At 45.2% G+C, this 24,990-nt stretch overlaps 1 protein-coding gene and 1 long non-coding RNA gene across 4 annotated transcripts in view, besides 1 other annotated feature; one reads left to right on the top strand and one right to left on the bottom strand.

Moving 5' to 3' along the window:
- Positions 1 to 24,990, top strand: part of PITPNC1 (phosphatidylinositol transfer protein cytoplasmic 1) — a 319,976-nt gene that overhangs the window by 42,715 nt on the left and 252,271 nt on the right. The window lies entirely within an intron of this gene.
- Positions 1,419 to 2,618: an enhancer, noted in NCBI's record as "P300/CBP strongly-dependent group 1 enhancer chr17:65417530-65418729 (GRCh37/hg19 assembly coordinates)". NCBI's record gives its function as "activates an origin of replication core promoter dependent on BRD2, BRD4, P300/CBP, MED14 and CDK7 cofactors, with strong dependence on P300/CBP, by STARR-seq in HCT116 cells {active_cell/tissue: HCT116}" and the evidence as "EXISTENCE:reporter gene assay evidence [ECO:0000049][PMID:35650434]".
- LOC124904046 (uncharacterized) lies at positions 18,325 to 24,336 on the bottom strand. Its single transcript, XR_007065881.1, has 3 exons — positions 24,257 to 24,336; positions 23,322 to 23,526; positions 18,325 to 21,673 (listed from the first exon to the last, which is right to left on the bottom strand). It is a non-coding gene; the product is annotated as an uncharacterized LOC124904046 (long non-coding RNA).

Below are 24,990 nucleotides of genomic sequence, written 5' to 3' on the forward strand. Positions count from 1 at the left end.
GCACAAAGTTATCAGAGACAAATCATGGTCTCATTTTGCTTCATGCATTTTGGACCTGACATGAGTCCGTCTTTGATCCCTGAGGGGTGGTAGAAACAAGCAATGCTTTTCAGAGTGAAGCTAAAAAAGGCACTCTGTGGAAGAGAATATATTTTATAGATCAGTGATTAGTGAGTCTTTTCATGACAAGTTTTGTATTAATTATGATTTGAAAACCTCCAGTGCAGGGTTCTCAGGAATTACTAAGTGCCCCTGGGTACAGCAAGAAGCACTGGAATAAAGAATCTCAATGTGTGACCAAATTTCTAAATTCTTGGGGGTGTACAGAAATTAGCCACTTCTATTTTCTCTCTCTCTTTCTCTCTCTCCTTCCTTCCTTCCTCCCTCCCCTCCCTCCCTCCCTCCCTTCCTTCCTTCCTTCCTCTTCTCTTCTCTTTTCTTTTCTTTCTTTTTTTCTTTCTTGAGTCTTTCTCTGTTGCCAGGCTGGAGCTCGGTGGCGCTATCTCGGCTCACTGCAACCTCCACCTCCTTGGGTCAAGCGAGCCTCTCACTCACCCTCCTAAGCAGCTGGGATTACAGTCATCCACCACCACGCCTGGCTGATTTTTATATTTTTAGTAGAGACGGGGTTTTGCTATGTTGGCCAGGCTGGTCTTGAACTCCTGGCCTCAAGTAAACTGCCCGCCTCAGCCTCCCAAAGTGCTGGGATTACAGGCGTGAGCCACTGCGCCCGGCCTCACTTCTGTTTTCTACTTGTGTTTTTATTTCCATTGCATTTCCTGACTTGTGTATATTTTCTCGTTGTAGAAGCACTTAGTGTTTTGGCACTCAGACTTACTTTCCAGTGTTTCTTCTGATCAATCAATAGCCCTTTACTCATACTAACTATATGTGATGGAAGCAAAGTCAGGAATGTCTAATGTGGGGGCAGAATTCACTATGAAGCTACTTAGAATTTCACCAGCCATGAATGATACATTATCCATCATGTTAGCTAGAATATACTGGGCTCCAGTCTCTTTTGGGGGATCTTTAGGGTCCTTCTGGGTGCAGAAGGGAAGATGACATTTCAGGAGATCTCTGCGCATTCCACCCTGGCTTCCTTCCTTCCAGGTAGGCTGAGAGAAAGCTTTCTTCTTGATGGTGCTAGTGAGAACTTGGCAGGTGGAGCAGGAACTGTTAGTTTTTCACTCCCTGTTGGAGTCATTCACACATACAGCTCATATAGAAGACGGATGTCTTTTGTCTTGGTGCCAAAGACTTGAAAACAGAGAACGGTAACTTTTATTTATTTATTTATTTTTGAGATGGTGTTTCGCTCTTGTCACCCAGGCTGGAGTGCAATGGTGTGATCTCAGCTCACTGCAACCTCTGCCTCCTGGGTTCAAGCGATTCTCCTGCCTCAGCCTCCTGAGTAGCTGGGATTACAGGCACTCATCACCACGCCTGGCTAATTTGTGTATTTTTACTAGAGATGGGGTTTTACCATGTTGCCCAGGCTGGTCTTGAACTCCTGACCTCAGGTGATCCACCTGCCTCGGCCTCCCAAAGTGCTGGGATTGCAGGTGTGAGCCACTGTACCAGGCTAGAATGGTAACTTTTGAAACCCATTTTTGTTATTCTAAAGTCTTCACGGTGTGGTGTTGGGAAGGCTGGGTTGCTGTGTCAGATGGGTACCCTCACCCCAGTTATGGCTGTTCTCACATCCAATTCCAGGAAGCCTCATTCTTGTGTGGTCATAGAAAAGCAACCTTAATTTTCCTGTGTCTTAGTTTCCTTACCTCCTAGAAATGTGGCAAAGATGCAGAATCTGTTTATTTAGTAAATATTTATCAAGTTCTGGGAATACAGCGGCGAATAAGCCACCAAATCCTTCCTTGATGGGACTCACCCTCTAACACAGCCAAGGCAATGAGAGACCTTCCAGGAATAACATTGAGAGGCAAATTATGCATGTAGGTGACACATGAGGCCAACAGGAAATGACCTCGAATTGAAGTTGAAATTTACAGTGCGAGATGAGCCAAGAATCTGTGAACCCTTAGAACTCAGGCAAGGTGAGCTGGTGTGACTTGCAGGAAGTATGACTCAATTGTGACTGTACCCAAGAAGGCTTAAACCACATCATCTGAAAGAAGGATGTGCCAACATACGCTTCCAATGACTAAAAGGAGGGGCAGAGGGAAAAACAAAACAGCATGTTCCCAGGCCCATCCTAGGAGGAAGGAAGGCTATTAATACATTCCTTTGACATTGTCTACTTACCATTGCATAGAGTTGGAGGTGAGTGGCATATGGAGAGACAGAGATTTGGAGACAGACTGAGTTTGAATCCCAATTTTGTCTTATTAGGCCGTGGACAAGTCATTTCAACTCTCTAAGCTTCAATTTCCTCATTATTTATTTTTTAAAATAGAGATGAGGTCTTGCTATGTTGCCTAGGCTGGTCTTGAGCTCCTGGGCTCAAGCCATCCTCTTGCCTTGGCCTCCTGAGTACATACAGGTGTGAGCCACCACACCCACCTGCCCAGCCCTAGCTTGCTCACTGTCTTTCTTTTTTTCTTTTTTTTGAGACAGAGTCTTGCTCTGTCACCCAGGCTGGAGCACGGTGGTGTGATCTCGGCTCACTGCAACCTCTACCTCCCAGGTTCAAGAGATTCTCCTGCCTCAGCCTCCTGCGTAGCTGGGATTAGACTACTACACTCGGCTAATTTTTGTATTTTTAGTAGGGATGGGTTTCACCATGTTGGCCAGGCTGGTCTCGAACTCCTGACCTCACGTGATCTGCCCACCTCAGCCTCCCAAAGTGCTGGGAATAAAAGTCGTGAGCTACCACGCCGGTCTAGCTTACTCAAACAATGTCTAGTTTGCAGGGTAGTGTATGTACGTGCCTCAGTGTCTTTGGTGTGATATACACTTAGTAAATGTTAGTTCAGCTCTAACAGACTCATCTGAGATTTTGATTCTGTAACTCCCAAGAGTTCAGTATGCTAGCATTTTTTTTTTTTTAACATGAGGAAGAGTTGGGTAAGGAAGAGCTGTGTTTTAATTGCATTACGGCTCAACTGCTAACTGTTTTGATATGTTGAACAAAGTCCATTGATTCTTCATGGAGGAGTGCTTGCTGGGGAGTGTGAGTCAGCACGTCTGCGTTATTAACTTGTTCGGAAGCTTTTTGTGGCAGATTGATTTTAAAAGCCCCCAAGGAAACAGAGGATTTTATTTAATAGAAATATTGTCAGAATGACATTGAGATTTGGGTTTAGCTTTCAAATCACTGGATACAAGTTGAATCAGGTCTTTTCTCTGACAGATATTGGAAACATGGTGTGTTGGAGAAATACTCTCCATTGCCTGGCAGGGCCCTTACCTTGGGAGAGGGGGATGATATTTGCCTGGAGCACCCCGGTGACCCCACCTAGCAGGCCTGACTTTCTAAAGGCAAGGATGTGGGCTTGGTACAGAGAGGTGGCGAAACCTGAATATTAGTATTTTCAAATCTGATTACTAGTATTTTCAACCGACCTGACTAGGCGCAAATCCATGCTCATTTAAATGAAAGTCTACCTGAAATCATGCCTCACTGCAACCATGCACTTCTGGGCTTAAGCGATCCTCCTGCCTCAGCCTCCCTGAAGGTCCACCTGCATTTGAATAAGGATGGATGTGCGCCCAGGTATGTCTTTGTGGGTTTCCATCCTATAGTTCTGGAGCAAAGGACAAATGGAAGAAAGTTGCTAAAGAAAAGAAGAGCGTTTCTGTGGCTCCTTCAAGAGCAGTTACAGATTTCTGTCCTGAAGCCAGGAGGGAATATGTGGCCCAGGTCCCACAGTGGAGAGTTGCAATGCTCCCTCTTGGGCATCTCTGTCCTCATTTGGATTCAGGGCTGAAACTTCGGGATCAGTTTCACAGAAGAGGTTTCAAGTAGATTTCTTGCAGTCCTGAAAGTCACACTTCTCTGAAATTGGTTTAACACCAATCCAAAACCTATTGGTGTTCCTGTTACATTTTACAACTCTTCATATGCCACTTAAGAAATGACCTCTCTAGAATTGTGACTCCAGCCTAGGCAACAGTGGGAGACTGTCTCAAAAAAAAAAAAAAAAAAAAAATAGAGTTGAGGATGAGGAGCTCAAGAATAAAAGTGAGATGGGATGGACAGAGAAAAAGCAGGAAAACTAGCGAATGGTATGGTAGAAGCCAATAGAGAAAGGACTTTCAAGGTGGAGGGAGAGAATTTAAGAGTTGGGACTTCTCTTCCAGCAAGAAGAGGAAGAATGGCATAAGAGGGACTGTGATGTAGGCACTATGTCACCATCGTATTTAATCCAAACTATAACTATGCAAGATTACCACTTGACCTTCAAGAAAACTGGGCTGGCTGGGCGCAGTGGCTCACTCCTGTAATCCCAGCACTTTGGGATGCCGAGGCAGGAAGATAACCTGAGGCCAGGAGTTCGAGACCAGCCTGGCCAACATGGTGAAACCTTGTCTCTTCTAAAAATTCAAGAATTAGCTGGGCGTGGTGGTGGGCGCCTGTAATCCCAGCTACTCAGGAGGCTGAGGCAGAGGAATCGCCTGAACCTGGGAGGCGAAGGTTGCAGTGATCCGGGATCGCACTACTGTGCTCCTGCTTGGGCGACAGAGGAAGACTCCGTCTCACAAAAACAAACAAACAAGCAAATATACAAAACTGAGCTGAGGAGACAATTCGACAATTCATGCAGTCAATAAGTAGGTTGCAGAGGTTGGAGTACAGTGGCGTGATCGGCTCGCTGCAACCTCCGCCTCCTAGGTTCAGGCGATTCTCTTGCCTCAGTGTCAGGCCTCTCAGCCCAAGCTAAGCATGTGACCTTCGTGTATACATCCAGATGGCCTGAAGCAACTGAAGATCCACAAAAGAAGTGAAAATAGCCTTAACTGATGACATTCCATCATTGTGATTTGTTTCTGCCCCACCCTAACTGATCAATGTACTTTGTAATCTTCCCCACCCTTAAGAAGTTTCTTTATAATTCTCCCCACCCTTAAGAATGTACTTTGTGAGATCCACCCCCTGCCTGCAAAACATTCCTCCAAATTCCACCGCCTATCCCAAAACCTGTAAGAACTAATGATAATCCACCACACTTCGCTGACTCTTTTCGGACTCAGCCCGCCTGCACCCAGGTGAAATAAACAGCCATGTTGTGCGCGCGCACGCACACGCACACACACACACACACACACACACACACACACACACACACACACACACACACACACACAGAGGGAGAGAGAGAGAGAAATGACCTCTCTAGAGAAAGAAGAATCACCATGGTATGGGAGAATGAACCCCTCAGAAATGGTCACAGCTTATTCAAGTCCTAAACCCTTGCTATGGGCAAGGGTTGACAAACTTTTTTTTTCTTTTCTTTCTTCTTCCTGTCTTCTTTCTTTTCCTCTCTCTTTCTCTCACTCTTTCTCTCCCTTCCCCTCCCTCCCTCCCTCCTTCCTTCCTTCTCTCTCATTCGCTATTTCTTTTCTTTCTTTCTTTTTTTTTTAGAGACAGGGTCTTGCTCTGTCACCCGGGCTGGAGTGCAGTGGCGCAATCATGCCTCATTGCAACTTTGCACTCCTGGGCTCAAGCGATCTTCCTGCCTCCACCTCCCAAGTAGCTGGGACCAGAGGCACACACCACCACGCTTGGCTAATTAAAAAAAAATTTTTTTTTTAAAGAGATGGGGTCTCACTGTGTTGCCCAGGCTGGTCTCAAACTCCTAGCCTTACGTGATCCTTTCACCTCAGCCTCCCAGAGTGCTGGGATTACAGGTGCAAGCCACCATGCCAGGCAGCAAAGTTTTTCTTAAAAGGCCAGAAAGTAAATATTTTTGCCTTTGCCGATCATAAGGTCTATGTCACAACCACTCAACTCTGCCATTGTAGCTCAAAAGCAACCATAGACAATAGGGTCAAGGAGTGAGTGTGACTGTGTTTCAATAAAACTTTATTTAACACATAGGCCTCCCTCCTGCAATCCCTTTTGCTGATCACTTCATAGACCATCATACACTTCCTGTGCTCTTTGGAGCTTGAAAATCATACTTTGGAGTAAGAAATTCTTTTGAATATAAATTACATATGTTTGGCTGTGGAGAAATAGGAATGCTTTTACACTGTTGGTGGGAAGGTAAATTCGTTCCACCATTGTGGAAGACAGTATGGGGATTCCTCAAGACTCTAGAACCAGAAATACCATTTGACCCAGCAATCCCATTACTGGGTATATGCCCTAAGAAATATAAATCATTCTACTATAAAGACACATGCACATGTATGTTTATTGTGGCACGATTTACAAGAGCAAACACATGGAATCAACCCAAATGCCCATCAACGATAGACTGGATAAAGAAAATGTGGTACATATACACCATGGAATACTATACAGCCATAAAAAGGAATGAGATCATGTCCTTTGCAGGAACATGGATGAAGCTGGAAGCCATCATCCTCAACAAACTAACAGAGGAACAGAAAACCAAACACCACGTGTTCTCACTCATAAGTGGGAGTTGAACAATGAGAACACATGGACACAGGGAGGGGAACAACACACACCGGGGCCTGTTGGAGGGTGGGGGGCGAGGGGAGGGATTTAGAGGATGGATCAATAGGTGCAGCAAACCACCATGGCACACATATACCTATGTAACAAAACTGCTCATTCTGCACATGTATCCCAGAACTTAAAATAAAAATAAAAAATAAATTACATATGTTTAGAGAAAGGAAGCTTCCATATTTATGTATCATCATGATTTTTTTAAAAACTTATTTAATTTGCATACAAATTTGTTCCACATTTGTTTCCTGTAAAATGGATTCCTCATAAATGCTTGGTAAGAGTATCCATGTTTGATGTGAAACAAACTGATGATGCTTGAATTCCTGTTTACTCTGAAGTTCTTTTCACATGCTGGTGAGTTCTGAGCACCATGCTTACATGCACCTCTCCTTTGCAGCAAACATAAGTTTTGAGGTCCCTGTGAGTCCTAATGGCACCGAGGTGCTGTCTCAGGTGACCTTCTCCTAATCCTGAAAAAGTCTCCATGATTGGCCCTGGAGGAGTTCTCCTGGTTGTCTGGAATGAGTTCATACTAATAGTCAGGGCTCTGGGCATTGTGAGACCCTGGCTACTTTCTTTCTTTCCCACAATGTATACTTTCTCACTATTTATTTATTTATTTTTTTGAGACAGAGTCTCGCTCTGCTGCCCAGGCTGGAGTGCAGTGGTGTGATCTTGGCTCACTGCAACCTCCACCTCCCAGGTTCAAGCAATTCTCCTGCTTCAGCCTCCCGAGTAGCTGGGACCACAGGCGCCCGCAACCACGCCCGGCTAATTTTTTTTGTATTTTTAGTAGAGATGGGGTTTCACTGTGTTAGCCAGGATGGTCTTGATCTCCTGACCTTGTGATCCTCCTGCCTCGGCCTCCCAAAGTGTTGGTATTACAGGCATGAGCCACTGCACCCAGCCATGCTTTCTCACTATGAAAACCTCCTCGGACTCCTCGGACTCCTCACAAGAGTGAGTGAGCTGGATTTGCTGTATTTTCAAAGTCATCCTTCATTACACATGAACATTGGCTGCACCCGAGCTTGGCTGTGAACTGATTATTCTCACCAGGGCCTGTTAACACAAATTCCATCACTCCTACAGCTAAAAATAAACCATATTTAACAAGTAGAAACAAAACTCCAGGCAAATACATCATCTGATTTGATGGAATCTTTGTTGAAAATGTTAATGGTGGAATCAGATGCTTACCTTTAAGATGGGAGATTGCATTCCTTCGTGAGCAAGGTGCCTAGAAATCAATTCCAACTCTTGATATGATCAGAGAGATTGATGGATACCTAAGTGTCTGAAATGATAATAGTTCATCTTGTCTAAGGGCATTCCCCCATTTGTGGCACATTGTCCTTGACGATCAGTCTTCTATTTATTTTATTATTTTATTTTTTACAGATGGGGTTCTCGATGTGTTGCCCACGCTAGAGTGCAGTGACTGTTCACAGGCAACATCATTGCACACTGCAGGCTTGAACTCCTGGGCTCAAGCAATCCTCCTGCCTCAGCTTCTTGAGTGGCTGGCACTACAGGCATCCACCACTGTGCCAGGCTCAGTCTTCTATTTAAATAATGCTGCTACTTTAGAGGGTTTAGGAATATTTAGTGTTTACAGCTAGTGTCTCTGTAATATGAAAACATACTGTGCCTTGGCTGGGTGTGGTGGCTCATGTCTGTAATCCCAGGAATTTGGGAGGCCGAGGTGAGAGGATCACTTGAGCCCAGGAGTTCGAGACCAACTTGGGCAACATAATGCCCATCTTTTTAAAAAATAAAAAACAAAAATTAGCAGGGCATCATGGTGCACACCTATAGTCCTAGCTAATCGAGAGGCTAAGGTGGGAGGATTCCTTGAGCCCAGGAGGATGAGGCTGCAGAAATCGCACTACTGCACTTCAGCCTGGGCAACAGAGTGAGACCCTATCTCAAAAAGAAAAAAAAAAAAAAGAAAGAAAGAAAACATACTGCGCCTAGCAATACAAATAGTGACCTGCGGGTAATGAGATTATAGATGATTTTAAACATTCTTCTTGATAATTTTCCTGTGTTTTACAAATATTTAATAATGAATATGTACTACTCTAAGAAAAACAGTACAAAGGTTTTCAAAGTTTTTTGACAGTCATTTACCTGCAGTAAGTACGTTATACATCCCAACCCCATATAAACTAGCATTTATGTATTTATAAACTTAAAACAAACATTAGTTAACCATTTTTTTCTACTTGTCTTGCTTTTTTTTTTTTTTTTTTTGAGACGGAGTCTCGCTCTGTCACCCAGGCTAAAGTGCAGTGGTGTGATCTCGGCTCACTGCAACCTCTGCCTCCCGGGTTCAAGCGATTCTCCTGCCTCAGCCTCCCGAGTAGCTGGGATTACAGGCATAGTGCCACCACGCCTGGCTAATTTTGTATTTTTAGTAGAGACGGGGTTTCTCCATGTTGGTCAGGCTGGTCTCGAACTCCCGACCTCAGGTGATCCACCTGCCTTGGCCTCCCAAAGTGCTGGGATTACAGGCATGAGCCACCACGCCCGGCTTTTTTACCTACTTGTCTTTACCTCCTGATGTTTTCTGTTTTTCTATTCTATTTTATCAAAGAAGGAAGAAAGAAAAAAAGAAAGAAGAATATTCATGTATTGACCAGGTAAAATGATTTCATGAACCACTGATGGGTAAATTGAAAGCTAGTGATTATAGGACAGTGGTTGCCAGTCTTGTATTTCATGGGTCAGTAAAATTTAAAAGAAATTTTGGGGATTGATGTAAGATCATCTGTTTTTCATGTTGCAAAGTAAGGATGTTTTAAAACAAGGTAGCTGGGCGCAGTGGCTCATACCCGTAACCCCAGCACTTTGGGAGGCCAAGGCAGGTGGATCATCTGAGGTCAGGAATTGAGACCAACCTGGCCATCATGGTGAAACCCCATCTCTACTAAAATTACAAAATTAGCTGGGCGTGGTGGCGATTGCCTATAATCGTAGCTACTCAGGAGGCTGAGGCAGGAGAATCACTTGAACCTGGGAGGCGGAGGTTGCAGTGAGCTGAGATCGTGCCACTGCACTCCAGCCTGGATGAAAGAGCAAAACTCTGTTTCAAAAAAAAAAAAACTTACAAAGTAATTATTTCTACCACCATTATTCTTTTATTCATTTGTCATTTAAAATCTTGTTTTTATGAATTTTATGATTTGAGAGAATTTTCATGTCAAAATATCCTTTCTTTTCTGAAAGAATATTTTAGCATTAAATATTAGAAGGAATACAATTTCAGTAGTTATGTGATGAATAAATTTAGCTTTCTGAAAACAGACCGCACTTGCTTTGTTTTTTCCATTTGGCAATGAACCTGTGCACTAGCATTTAGGAATCATTTAGGAATTATCAGTGTAGTGGAAACAGCCTTGCTTTGAAACAACACAATTTTACTTCCAGTTCTGAATCATTTAATTTTTCTGAACTTCTTTTTACCCATCTGCAAAAGAGGAATCTCAGAGGTATAGCAATAAGGTTTATAAAGGGTTTAAGACAGTTCTGAATGCGCAGGAGTTTATAGATGGTAACGTCTTTTCTCTGGATCATTAATTCTCCTTACTACTCTGTGATTTTAAAAACTTAGAATGTTGGCTAGTGTGGTGGCTCATGCCAGTAATCCCAGCACTTTGGGAGGCTGAGGTGGGAGGGTCACTTGAGGTCAGGAGTTCAAGACCAGCCTGGCCAACGTGGTGAATCCCTGTCTCTACTAAGACACAAAAAAATTAGTCTATAATCCCAGCTACTTGGGAGGCTGAGGCAGGAGGATCGCTTGAACTCGGGAGGTGGAGGTTGCAGTGAGCTGAGATCATGCCACTGCACTCGAGCCTCTGTGACAGAACAAGACTCTGTCTCAAAAACAAAAACAAAAACAAACTTAGAATGTTGGCCAGTGTGGTGGCTCATGCCTATAATCCCAGTGCTCTAGGAGGCAGAATGCTCTAGAGGGTGGAAGCGGGAGGATTGCTTGAGGTCAGGAGTTTGAAACCAGCCTAGGCAAGGTAGTGAGACCTCTGTCTCTAAACAACAACAACAAAACAGCTGGGCGTGGTGGTGCACACCTGTCGTCCCAGCTACTTGGGAGGCTGAGGTGGGAGGATCAGTTGAGGCCGGGAGTTCAAGATCAGCCTGGGCAACATAGTGAGACCCTGTCTCTACCAAAAAAAAAAAAATTAGACATATGCAGTGGCATGTGTCTGTAGTCCCAGCTGCTCAGGAGGCTGAGGTGGGAGGATCCCTTGGGCCCAGGAAGGTTGCAGTGAGAAATGATCACACCACTGCACTCCAGCCTGTGTGACAAAGCAAGACCCCATCTCTTAAAAACAAAACCAAACCACACAACAACTTGGAATGTTGAAAGAAGTTCATTATGTGTTTCCATTTTATGATGAACTATTTCTTTAATTTTTACTCTTTTTAGTTACTGTTTCTTTTTTTTTTTTTTGCGATGGAATATTGCTCTGTCGCCCAGGCCGGAGTGCAGTGGCGTGATCTTGGCTCACTGCAAGCTCCACCTCCCGGGTTCAAGCGATTCTCATGCTTCAGCCTCCCGAGTAGCTGGGACTATAGGCGCCCACCACCACACCCAGCTAATTTTTGTATTTTTAGTAGAGACGGGATTTCACCATGTTGACCAGGCTGGTCTCAAACTCCTGACCTTAAGTGATCCATCCGCCTCAGCATCCCAAAGTGCTGGGATTACAGAGTGAGCCACCGCACCTGGCCTCATGTCTTGTCTTACCTACGGCTTTCCCCCTCTTTCTGCGTTTTCTCCACCCTTTACCGCTGAGTCAGCCTCTGTATACCATTATTCATGATGGGAACTCAGCTTGTCTGACAGTTGGTTTTAAGGCACAATTAGAAAATATTCCTTGATAGTACAATGAGTTTGCAGTTTTTAAGTTGTGGTTTTGGCCAGAGATATTAATAAGGGTTTGGACGTTGAGTGGAATACTAAGAATAAGAAAGGGGATGTGCTTAAAATACATCTCATGTGCCTTCTGTTTAATTACACGGTAATTTGTAAAAGAGACTGGTTTCTGTGGCCTTGAATACTAATATAGACTTTCCCTCACCACAGCTTATCTTCGAGTCATAAACACAGAGGCATGCATAGTTCACACATCTCCATGTATTTTCTGTTTCCAAGGAAGATATGATCACTCTGAAGAACCAAAAGATGAGTCACTCTGAAAACTTTTCTTCCTTTGTCTTAATGTCATGACTGTCTTAACAATTGACTGTGTTTATTTCAGCAACATTTATCTTTAGTCTCTTCTCTTTGGCTCAGTCAGATGTTTTCAGTTTCACCCAGCACGGACCACAGCCATATTACCTCCTATATCCCAGTGGATAACTTCTGCAGGAAAACTTCAGCTACTTGACACTCTTGGGAAACGAGCTGGGTGTTCCTGATAAGAAAGGTTTACCAGAATCTTGTAAAGATGGTTTCTCTAATAATAGCTAACATATTTATAAGCGTGCTATGTTTTAGAACATGGGTGTCCAAACTTTTGGCTTCCTTGGGCCACATTGGAAGAATTGTCTTGGACCACATATAAAATACACTAACACTGGCCGGGTGCGGTGGCTCACGCCTGTAATCCCAGCACTTTGGGAGGCCAAGGCAGGTGGATCACGAGGTCAGGAGATGGAGACCATCCTGGCTAACACGGTGAAACCCCGTCTCTACTAAAAATACAAAAATTAGCCGGGCGTGGTGGTGGGCACCTGTAGTCCCAGCTACTCGGGAGGCTGAGGCAGGAGAATGGCGTGAACCTGGGAGGTGGAGCTTGCAGTGAGCCGAGCTTGCAGTGAGCCGAGATTGCACCACTGCACTCCAGCATGAGCGAGAGAGTGAGACTCCGTCTCAAAATAAATAAATACATAAATAAATAATAAAATAAAATAAAACTAATGATAACTGATGAGCTAAAATAAATAAATAAAGGTCCGTGTATAATTTTTGTGATATCTGCCACCACAGATAAGCCAAAAAGTCCTCTTATTCAAAGGGTTGGACATGGCTGTTTCAGTAACTTCATTACAGGCTTTGTGAACATTATCTCATGTAATCCTAAAACAAAACAAAACAGAACAAAATGACTTTCCCTGTCTCGATTTCCTGAGTGATCTTTGTAAACATCAGCTATTACAGTGTGCTCTTTTGTGTAGATTTCAGGTGTATGTGACTCTTGTAAGCATTCAGCTTACCACTGTTTATTGAGTGATTATTATGTGCCAGATACAGCTCTGGACACAGGTGTGACTAAAACAAACTCCCTGCCCTCAAGGTGCTTATATTCTGGAGGTGGGAGGAGGACCCTGACAACAGCATGGAAATATACAAATATAATATAATGTCAGGTAGCCACAAATATAGCAGGATATAGGGACAGCGAGTGGGGGTGGGGAGAGTGGTGGCGGAAGACCCTTGAGGAGGCGACAGTTGAGCAGAGACCTGGATGAATCGTGGGAGCAAGGCTTGTAGATATTTGGCAAAAGAGCCATTTGATTGTGACTTACGTGGTTCTCCCTCTTCTGCTTTCTATAGTTTTCCTGTCTCCTGGCAGTCAGTGCCAGGAAAGAATTTAGTTGGGCCAGACCAAGGGAAGCCAGACCTAGAAAGGAGGCAAAGCTACAGGTGCAGAGCAGAGATTGCTAAGGTCTTAGCCGCGGGCTGCGGGAGCGAGCCTGGGCGGGCGGGTAAGGCTGTGGAACCGGAGTCTGGAGAGTCTGCTGGCTGCGCACAAACACGGCTGTGCTTCTGGGCAGATGAATGGAGGGCAAGCCAGCCCCGGGCAGAAGATAGAACAGAGAGGAAGCTGGGGAGCCGGGTGCAGTAACTCGAAATCCCAGCACTTTAGGAGGCCGAGGAGGGCGGATCCCTTGAGGCTAGGAATTCCAGAGCAGCCTGGGCAACATAGGGAGAGTCTGGGTGTGGTGGCCTGCGCCTGTAAACCCAGCTACTCGGGAGGCTGAGGCAGAAGGATCGCTTGAGCATAGGAGTTTGAGGCTGCAGTGAGCTATGATTGTGCCACTGTGCTACAGCCTGGATAGTAGAGTGAGACTCCATCTCTAAAAAATAGAAATAAGAAAAAGAGGAAGCCAGGTGCAGGCTCAGGAGGCTGACGCAGGAGGATCACTTGAACCCAGGAGGCTGACGCAGGAGGATCACTGGAACCCAGCAGTCTGAGACTAGCGTGCAAGGATCACCCCTGTGAATAGCCACTGCACTCTAGCCTGGGTGACATAGCGAGACTCTGTCTCCTCCTCCCCATAATAATAATAATAATAATAAAGAGGAATCTGGTGCTGGCATAGAGGTACAGGCTGGATGGGAGGGTGGTCAGGATGGGGCAAGGGGCCGAGACCACAAATGGTCCTGCTCCTGGGGCTTAGAACGGGACCTGGTTCTCCAGGGAGGTGAAGAGGAGCAAGGCCAGAGCTCAGCAGCAGAAGCTGTGGTTTAAGAGAGAGGCTTGATTATAGATGTTAGGAAGTCAAGAGCCCAGTGCCTAGAACCTGGGCTGCAGACGGGGAATGAGGCTTATGGCTCCGTAATGGTGATGTAATGCTGACACCTCAGCTGTGGCACCACAGAGTCCTGTGTTACCCCTCCCTGTGCCCACACAAGATTACCAGAAACTACTTTGCATCCCATTGAATGCAATCTGCTCTGTGCCTCTTTTGTAAAATCTGCCCATTTACACATGGTGTTGCCACCCCAGCCTGGGAACTGAGCAGCAAGAGGAAGCCTCCCACCCGCCCCACTCCCAAGTAGCGTTTCCTTTTCCGGCTCCCACAGGCCCATTACATAACCTTTCTTAGGGCCCTCTGCACAGAGCTGTAATCTTTGGTAGAGGGGCAGGCTGTGCTTTAGAAGCCCGGAGCTCAGGCTGGGCGCGGTGGCTCACACCTGTAATCCCAGCACTTTGGGAGGCCGAGGCAGGTGGATCTCTTGAGGCCAGGAGTTCAAGACCAGCCTGGCCAACATGGCAAAACCCCGTCTGTACTAAAAATACAAAAAAATTTGCCAGGTGTGGTGGTGCATGCCTGTGATCCCAGCTACTCAGGAGGCTGAGGTGGGAGGATTGCTTGAGCCCAGGAGGTGGAGGTTGCAGTGAGCTGTTGCAACAGGGAACAACAGAGTGAGACTCTGCCTCAAAAAAAAAAAAAAAATAAAAAAATAAAAGGCCAGGCTAGGTGGCTCACGCCTGTAATCCCAACACTTTGGGAGGCTGAGGTGGGTGGATCGCCTGAGGTCAGGAGTTCGAGACCAGCCTGGCCAACATGGAGAAACCCCGTCTATACTAAAAATACAAAAATTAGCTGGGCATGGTGGCGGGCACCTGTAGTCCCAGCTACTCAGGAGGCTGAGGCAGGAGAATGACGTGAACCCGGGAGATGGAGCTTGCAGTGAGCTGAGATCACGCCACTGCACTCCAGCCTGGGTGACAGAGCGAGACTCCATCTCAAAAAAAAAAAAAAAAAAAAAAGAAGCCCAGAGCTCAAGATCTGGTCAGACTCCCTGGTTTGAACCTTGGCTCCTCTTGGGCAAATTACGCAACCTCAGTTACTTCATCTGTAAAACGGAAATTATAATAGTACTTACCTCTGCAGGATTCTTGTGAAGATAAAAGCCACAGAACAGTGGCTGGGCCCCAGAAGTGTTAGTGCTTTTGACGTTTCTGTAACCTTCACTAAACGTGACACCCTCCGGGGCCATTGTAGGCATTTTTGTACCCTCAGTGTCTAACATGTTACCCAGCAGGCACATGGATTCATTCAACAAGTATTTATTGAATGCCTTCTTCCAGGCCCTGGGATGCAGGGACATAGCCACCAATGAGACAAACTCCTGCCCCCATGGGGCTGACATTGTGCTGGGGGAGACAGACTGTAAGCAAGTGAACAAGGACACAAATAATACAGTTTCAGGCCAGGTGCGGTGGCCTACACCTGTAATCTCAGCACTTTGGTAGGCCAAGGTGGGCAGATCACGAGGTCAGGAGTTCGAGATCAGCTTGACCAACATGGTGAAACCCCATCTCTACTAAAAATACCAAAATTAGGCAGGTGTGGTGGTGCACATCTGTAATCCCAGCTACTCAGGAGGCTGAGGCAGGAGAATCGCTTGAACCTGGGAGGAGGAGGTTGCAGTGGGCCGAGATCATGCCACTGTACTCCAGCCTGGACAACAGAGCGGGACTTTGTCTACCACCGCACCCTCCCCGCCAAGAAGAACAATTTCAGCTAGTGATAAGTGGTATAAAAAAATAAGTTGGGGTCCTGTAATCGAGTGACCTAAGATGTGTGAGATACATGGTTGGTGGTTTTTTTGTTTGTTCCTTTGTTTTACTTTTTATTTTTTTGAGATACAATCTTGCTGCTCTGTTGCCCCAGGCTGCAGTGTTGTGGTGTGATCATAGCTCACTGCAGCCTCCAATTCCTGGGCTCAAGGGATCCTCCTGCTTCAGCCTCCCAAGTAGCTGGGACTACAGATGTGTGCCACCACACCCAGCCACCCAGCTAATTTTTAAATTTTTTGTAGAGACAGGGTCTCACTTTCTTGCCCAGGCTGGTCTTAAATTCCTGGCCTCAAAGGATCCTCCTGCCTCAGCTGCCTCCCAGAGTGTTGGGATTACAGGCCTGAGCCACCGTGTCTGGCTGGGGGTGCTATTTTAAAAAGAATGGACAGAAAATTTCTGCGAGGATTTGACGTTTGAACAATGGTCTTATCTAAGCGACAATCTGAGAGACAGCTGTCCAGACACAGGGAGCAGCAAGTACTAGCATGGCCTCTTTGTGTTTGAGCCAGGAGAGGAATAAAGGTGAGGGTGAGGGAGGCAAGAGGTAAGCAGAAGGTAGGGAGGCCAGGGAGGGGAAGGAGGGTGATGGAACGAACGTACCGGACAGGGCGTGGAAAGCGTTCGGGGCCTGGCTGGGAGTTTGGGATATGTCCTTTTTGCAATGGGAGCCACTGAGAGTTCTAAAACCAGAAGTGACATAATCTGATTCATGTTTCTTGGCTGTGTGCAGAGCTTTGCAAGAATGGCAACAGGGATAAAAGTCCTGAGACCAGGGAAAACCCAAGGGTCTTGGATTTGTGTGGATGGCTGAGGTAAAGGAGACTCATTCCATGGCCTTTTCTGGAAAGCTGGGTCATCTGTTACCAGTTTTATTGATTGTCTTCTGTAGCAGGTTGAATAGTGTCCCCTCAAAATCTGTGTCTGCCTGGAACCTCAGAATCTGATTGTATTTGAAAATAGGGGTGTTTTTTTTTTTTTTTTTTTTTTTTTTTTGAGACAGGATCTCACTCTGCTTGCCCAGGCTGGAGTACAGTGGTGCGATCACAGTTCACTGCAGCCTTGACTTCCCAGGCTCAGGTGATCCTCCCACCTCAGCCTCCCGAGTAACTAAGACTACAGGCTTGCACCACCATGGCTGGCTAATTTTTGCATTTTTAGTGGAGACAGGGTTTCGCCATGTTGCCCAGACTGGTCTCAAACTCCTAGACTCAAGTAATCCACCTGCCTCGGCCTCCTAAAGTGCTGGGATTACAGGTGTGAGCCACTGCACCTAGCCGGCAGTAGGGTTTTTGCAGATGTAATTAGTGAAGGGCCTCAAGATGAAATAATCCCGAAATTAGAGTGGGACCTGTATCCAATGACTGATGTCCTTATAGGAAGGGGAGCGGACATAGAGAGACACAGGGAGAAGATAGCCCCTTGAACATGGAGGCAGAAGTTGGGGTGTTGCAGCCACGAGCCAGGGAACGCCTGGGGCCACCAGAAGCTGGAAGAGGCAAGGACAGATTTCCTCCAGAGCATGGCCCTGCTGATACCTTGATTTTGGGCTTCTACCCTGCAGAACTGCGGGAGAACACATTTCTGTTGCTTTAGGCACTTGGTGATACTGTGTTTCTGCAGCCCTAGGAAACTAATGCACCTCCTAAGCATCACTGGTTTCTTAGGAATATTTGCATTGGGGTGCAGGCATGAGAGAGGCCTCATCAGGAAGACTGGCCATTCTATAGACCTTCCTTAAGCCCTGGAGAGGTGGGTGGTCTTACCAGGAACTCAAAGGAGCTCTAAGATCCCAGAGGAGGTCCCTGAGAACGAATGAACAAATGAATGAATGAAAGGGCCCAAGGCCGAGTGCGGAGGCTCGGGCCTGTAATCCCAGCACTTTGGGAGGCCGAGGCGGGCGGATCACTTGAGGTCAGGAGTTGGAGACCAGCCTGGCTAGCATGGCGAAACCCCATCTCTACTAAAAATTACAAAATTTAGCTGGGCGTGGTGGCACACATCTGTAATCCCAGCTGCTGGGGAGGCCAAGGCAGAGAATTGCCTGAACCTGGGAGGCGGAGGTTGCAGTGAGCGGAGATCTCGACACTGCACTCCATCCTGGGCGGCAGAGCGAGACTCTGTCTCAAAAAAAGAAAAAAAGAAAAAAAAAGAAGAGAAAAGAAAAAAGAAAAACAAAGATCCTAAGACAGGGCTGTGTCTGACCTTCAGGTCACTCAATAGCCCTAGCCATGAACGTTGTAATTGACCCTCTGCAGCACATAGACCTCTAGTCAGTGCAGCCACCATCATTCCGCTGTGTGCCTTCTAAGCTGTTCTGGGTTGTAAGATCTTTGTTAGAATTTGGATAAAGAGAACAGAGTTCTAAGTGACTTTTTTTTTTTTTTTTTTTCTGAGACAGAGTCTCGCTCTATCGCCCAGGCTGGAGTGCAGTGGTGTGATCTCCGCTACTGCAACCTCTGCCTCCTGGGTTCAAGAGATTCTCCTGCCTCAGCCTCCCCAGTAGCTGGGATTACAGGCACCTGTCACCATGCCTGGCTAATTTTTGTATTTTTAGTACAGACAGGGTTTCACCATGTTGGCCAAGCTGGTCTTGAACTCCTGGCCTCAAGTAATCTGCCTGCCTCGGCCTCCTAAAGTGTTGGGATTACAGGCGTGAGCCACCGTGCCCAGCTGGGCCTAAGTGACTTTCTAATGCACAGAATGTGTGAATTTTAGAATATGATCTTTTACCATCCAGTTTTCTGGACTCAGAAGTAACTTTTCCTTCCTCTCTTTTAAATGTTCATTAGGTCAAATTAGAACTGAAGAAGCAACCCTGAGGTATAATACTCTGCCCCAGCAACAAAAAGCAGTACTGCTGCTGACTTACGGCTACTATTCTGAGTTGAAAGTGCTGAAAAGAAAACTCCAGGCCATGCGCATTTAATTTGATTGTAATCCTGCCAGAGATCCACCTGCTTTGCTCCCATCCGTTTCCCTTGGCCTGTCCTGTAGAAAGGGACTGCAATTGAGCACTTTTTTAAATTAAAAAAATGACCTGCACTCTCCACAAAATACAGGTCCAAATGGCAGTAGCTTATTGGTCATCAGTTTCTCCTAGGAAACCTGGGCCACAAGTTTCTGGTTGGTTTCGGACACACAGTAGGTGCTGAATTAATTAAAGGTGTTTCTTTAATTCAGCCCAGAAGCATCTGATTTGCTTAGGAAATTGATTAGGCATATATTACCTGGATGATGTCAATTTCTATGTAACCATTTCTCTCCTGTGTAATTGATGAGCCTCCTAATGTTGATTTTATTTTATTTTACCAAGCACTGTATTTAGTTAATAAAAAATACAGAATAGGATTCAAAACAGCTGTGTTTGCTATTGGCATGGCCGTCACCCTCCTAATACCTGTGCATGTCATAATAGACTACATTTGCAGAAACAAAAGGTTAGGAATAAAAAGATGACTTTTGTCCCTCCAGCTGCCAGTGACAACCCACAGCCTCAGCTTATGGTATTTATTTAATCTTGTATCTGTGATAGGGCTCTGAGACACTTCTGTGAAGCAGATGTTTGAAGATCTGACAATTATGGAAGAAAATTTCTCATAGAAAAAGATATGTTCTCCAGCCTTGGGCGGGGGCCTGACATTACTCTTCCACATTTCACTCATTCATTTATTGAAAAATGAAAAATTATATATATTTATAATATACCAGGTGATATTTTGATATGTGAATACATTGTTGAATTATTATGTTAAGCTAATTAACATATCTCTCACCTTACATACTTATTTTTTGTTGATGAGATGGACATTTCTTTTTTAAGTATGCTTAAATGTGTTCACGGATTGTGTGAAATTTTTGGCATCCCGTTTCTTGATATACCACCTTTTGCCACATTTCTTGTTTATATAGTATGTATCTCAGCCGGTGATGAATCAAGGAAAAAGATAAAGAAAAACAAACAAACAAACAAAAAAGCAAACAAACAAGTTAAAACAAACCCAAAACCTTCTTTCCCAGTAGGCAGTAATTTGGGATGTAAAATGTATGAGGTAGGCAGGAGGAAGATGAAAAGTCTGTCTGAAATGAGAACTGTCTGTTGGCTTAATTCAGGTGATCACAGATTGTCTGTAGCCTTGAGCAAAGCCTAGAGAATAGTGAGGCTAGTAAAACACTAGCCCTTGGGCTCAAAATTTAAGATGGCACCAAAAAACTAAAAATCAGGGTAAATAATATTTTGATGCAATATTTTTAAAAAATAAAAATTAATGCACAATACTCTACAATGAACAAAATATCAAAATGCTAAAGACAGGCTCTAACCCCGCACTGGCAAACGCAACCTCACTTGTCTCCTTCTAATCCTGGCCTTGACCCCTAATAACAAAAAGTAAGATCATCTAGACCTCAAAAGGAAAAGTTGCTAGTCCCTCTAAGCCTTCGTTTGCTCTGGGTTTGAATCCAAACTCTGTTATGACCAACTTAGTGAAATCAGGCAAATTACTCAACCTCTGTAACTTCCTTTTGAAAAATGGAGATGTTTTCTCTTGCAAGACTTTTTATTTATTTATTTATTTATTTATTTATTTATTTATTTATTTATTTATTTGAGACAGGGTCTCACTCCATTGCCCAGGCTGGAGTGCAGTGGTGCCATCATGGCTCACTGCAGTCTCTACCTCTCCAAGCTTGGGTAATCCTCCCACCTTAGTCTCCCAAGTAGCTGGGACTACAGGCATGCACCGTCATGCCTGGCTGATTTTTTTTTTGAAAAAAAATTTTTTTTATAGGGATAGGGGTCTTGCCATGTTACCCAGGCTGGTCTCTTAACTCCTGGGCTCAAGAAATCTGCCCACCTCAGCCTCCCAAAGTGCTAGGATTACAGACGTGAGCCATCACGCCTAACCTCTTGCAGGACTTTTGGGGTGGTTTAAAAATTACGCCTGTGTAGCACTGGGAACATTATGACACCCAATAAATACCAAATAAACAACAGCTTTAAATATTATAATTCATAATGATTCACAGAGTATTAAGATCCCCAGGCGATGCAACCAGGTAGTACCTAAGTGTATCAGTCTTGGGTGCATCTGTCAGGGTTAACCTGGCTTTGTTTTTAACTTTACAGGACATATCAGAGTATAGCTATTGTGCCTGTGCTTTGAACACTCAAACATCCGCTCAACTGCTAAGTAACTGATTTCCTGTTTAGTCACAGCTCCTTGTCTGGGACCAGCCACTGGCAGCAAATTGTCATCTTCTGTATCTCCCTCTCAAAGCAACTCAGCCTTCTGAAGACGTGTAGAAGTTAGGTCTCGCAGGCTTGTATTTATTAAGCCCCCCCCCGCCACCCATCAGTCCCCAGTTATTTTGAGTGTCTCAAACGCATTTCCCACACCTGATGATTCATCTGAGGACGACTCACCCTTGTTGTCACTGACACTGTCCACAGCCCAGAGCTCAGCCTCTGATTTGCTCGGCAGAGATGGGGCTATGTACATATCGTGTGAGACGGAAGCTAACATAAGCAGAGGAGAAATCACGGAAGCAAAGTGAAGTGGGAATCCAGTTAATACTTGGAACAGAAAACTGGAAAGCAGCTCATTCATTCTCTCCGATTGTAAAAGGCGGATGGAAACAACACTTTTGTCAGCCTTTCTTCTAATCCGATCACAGCTGTAAAGACCATAAAGCCAAGCCCCGACGTCAATTATTCTTCTCCCTGTTCCTAAGAATGTGAAATTAGATGGGGAAAAGTGACAGAAGAGTGTCACTAAAATAACTTATTACACTTTGAGGGTCTTAGTCGTCATTAATAGTTGTTACTTTTTGAATATTCATCAGTGCGCCCTGCTGTTCGGCAAGAGAGGCTGTATGAAGTAGGAACTGCACACGCCTGGCTTCAGTCATGTATGCCTTGGATTTAAGCTCTTCTTTTCCACTTAATTAGTTAACAGGAACTTACTGAGCTGGGTGCAAAATGATACAGAAGAATAGGAGAATGGGATTGTAACCCCTGAAGCGTTTGTGATTTAGTTGAGTAGAATAAACTCTGCTGAGCCCAAGCTGAGCCTCAGCCTCATGCACCTGCTGTATTTCCACATTCTTTCATTTCTGCCCCAGAAATGTTGCTTGAATCTGGTTTCTCCTCTTTAACCATCTAAACTTTTACTATTGCTTTAGGACTGCCTCTCCTCATTTATTGCTATGTTGATTGCACTGCCCTGCCAAACCATATTGGAGCTGGATCAGGGGAAAATAAGCATATATATATATATATATATATATATATATATATATATATATATGCATGAAAATATCCTCCCATATTGTGGACCAAGTGGAAAAGTTAATGAAGCTCTACAATGAAAAAAAAAGTTGACTATGAGTAAAGTCTCATGTTGTCCAATCTGTAATCCTATTATTGTCAACCCTCGTAAGCCCGCCCAGTGGATGAGGTGGTGGGAGATGACGAGGGTGGGATGGGCATTCTGCAGCCAGTGGGGAAGAAGGCAGGGCCCTAAAACAAACAAGAACAAGCATATCTTTATTTAGAATTTGGATGTATTTTCATCGTGAATTTCCTTTGCATTCATTTTGATTAAAAAAAAATGCATTATGGCTGGGCGTGGTGGCTCACGCCTGTAATCCCAGCATATTGGGAGGCTGAGGCAAGTGGATCACTTGAGCCCAGGAGTTTGAGACCAGCCTGGCCAACGTGGCAAAACCCTGTCTCTACCAAAAATACAAAAATATATATATATATTAGCTAGGCATGGTGGTGTGCACCTGTAGTCCCAGCTACTTTGGAGGATGAGGCAGGAGAATTGCTTGAACCAGGAGACGAAGGGTTGCAGTGAGCTGGGATTGCATCACTGCACTACAGCCTGGGCAACAGAGCAAGACTCTGTCCCAGAAAAACTAAAAAAAATGCATTAAAATAATATTTATCTGTATTGCTGAGGTTTGAGGCACCCTCTTAAATTTTACACCTAGGCAATACCTCCAGCTCTCACACTAATCCAGGCTCTGGTCTATTACAAAAGTCCCCGCGGGCTCTGACCTACACAGCTGCCAGTTACCTTCCTAACAGACGACCAGTGATCATGTCACTTTCTTGTTAATCCAGACTGCTGGGAGCGAAAATTCAGCCCCCTCGGTTTGGCGTTGAAGCCCCTTTACAATCTGGCCCCCACCTAACCCACCAGGGCGCCTGCCCTGTCTGGCCCTGTTCCCACCTCTCTTGCCTCATCAAACTTCTGCCAGACTGCACCTTTGTCCATGCTCTGCTGTCTGCCTGAATTGTGCCCCTGTCTCCTGAATTGTGTCTCCAAGCCCCTTCACCTAAAATATTCCTGTTAGCTCTCAAGTTTCACCTCAGATATCCCTGACTGGCTGGGCAGACTTCTTAGACTCTCGCAAGCAGGCTTCTTTGTTCTGTTTTCCCATAGGAAATTGTTCGTTTCCACTCAATTCATATCTTGGTGGTTGCATTCATTTTTCGACTGTGATTTATCTGTTTACCGGTGTCCCTAGTTCCACTGCCAGCTCCTTGAGGCGAGCAACCGGGGCTTTTCATGTCTAATGAATAAATGAATACAATTTGACACAGTGAAAAAGGCAGGAACAGCAACCATAAAAAATCCATGAAAAACAAAAGCACAGAGGACAATAGGCAGAGAGGACACTGGTCTTTTTTTTTTTTTTTTTTGAGGGGGAATTCTCACTCTTTTGACCAGGCTGGAGTGAAGTGGTGTGATCTTGGCTCACTGCAACCTCTGCCCCCAGGGTTCAAGCGATTCTCCTGCCTCAGCCTCCTGAGTAGTTGGAATTACAGGCGTCTGCCACCACGCCTGGCTAATTTTTGTATTTCTAGTAGAGACGGGGTTTTGCCATGTTGGCCAGGCTGGTCTCGAACTCCTGACCTCAGGTGATCTGCCTGCCTCAGCCTCCCAAAGTGCTGGGATTACAGGCGTGAGTCACTGCGCCCGGCCGACACTGGTCTTAAAATCAGGAGAACCTGGATTTGGCTTTTGGTCTTGTCATTAGCCAGCTTTACAACTCTGTCATTATTTTCAGATTTTTTACTATGGAAACTTTAAAATTGTAGCAAAAATAGAACAGCCTGATGAACCCACATGTACCCATCATCCAACTAGAACAATGTGGGTTCATCAGGTTTCTTGTCATACTGCCCCGCTCTGCTACCCCCATCCCTGGATTGTTTGGAAGCAAATCCTAGACCTTACTGTCACTTCACATATAATTATTAAAGGAAGAACATGAACATTGTAATTGATTGCAAACTCACCATGAACCTGGTGGAAAGAAGAGATCACAATAGGCCGAGATCACGGGGAAGCTCTTGGAAGCAAGTTATGAAGGAGGAATACGGATTTTGGCAGAGAAAGTCTGTAAGTAGGAAGCTGTAAATCATGTGTCCAACATGTGGTGAGCAGATTGTTTTATCTGGAGTGGGGACTGGGTGGCGGAGGGGGGTGAGCAGAGGAAAATCTAGGCCTGGGACAGAGAGGCAGCCTTTGGGCAATGGGACAGACTGGAGACTCTTTTAGTTTTATGTAATGCAAGGGCTAAGGAAAAAACTTTGCCTTTGTCCCCTGAAGGTTTGCTGAAAAATCAACTGACAAAAAGCAGATTAATAGAAGAGAAGGCTGGCCAGGCGCGGTGGCCCACGCCTGTAATCCCAGCACTTTGGGAAGTTGAGGCAGGAGGATCGCCCAAGGTCAGGAGTTCGAGATCAGCCTGGCCAACATGGTGAAACCCTGTCTCTACTAAAAATACAAAAATTAGCCGAGCGTGGTGGCATGTGCCTGTAATCCCAGCTACTCGGGAGGCTGAGGCAGGAGAATCTCTTGAACCCAGGAGGCGGAGGTTGCAGTGAGCCAAGATCGCACCACTGCACTCCAGCCTGGGCGACAGAGCGAGACTCGGTCTCAAAAAAAAAGAAGGCAAGGTATATAAGTGTATTAGTGTGCGCTGTGGGAGGAGGGAGGAACACAGAGTGATTACCCATATCCTAGTGGG

The sequence above is a fragment of the Homo sapiens genome, chromosome 17, assembly GCF_000001405.40.
Source record: "Homo sapiens chromosome 17, GRCh38.p14 Primary Assembly".
Lineage (NCBI taxonomy): Eukaryota > Metazoa > Chordata > Mammalia > Primates > Hominidae > Homo > Homo sapiens.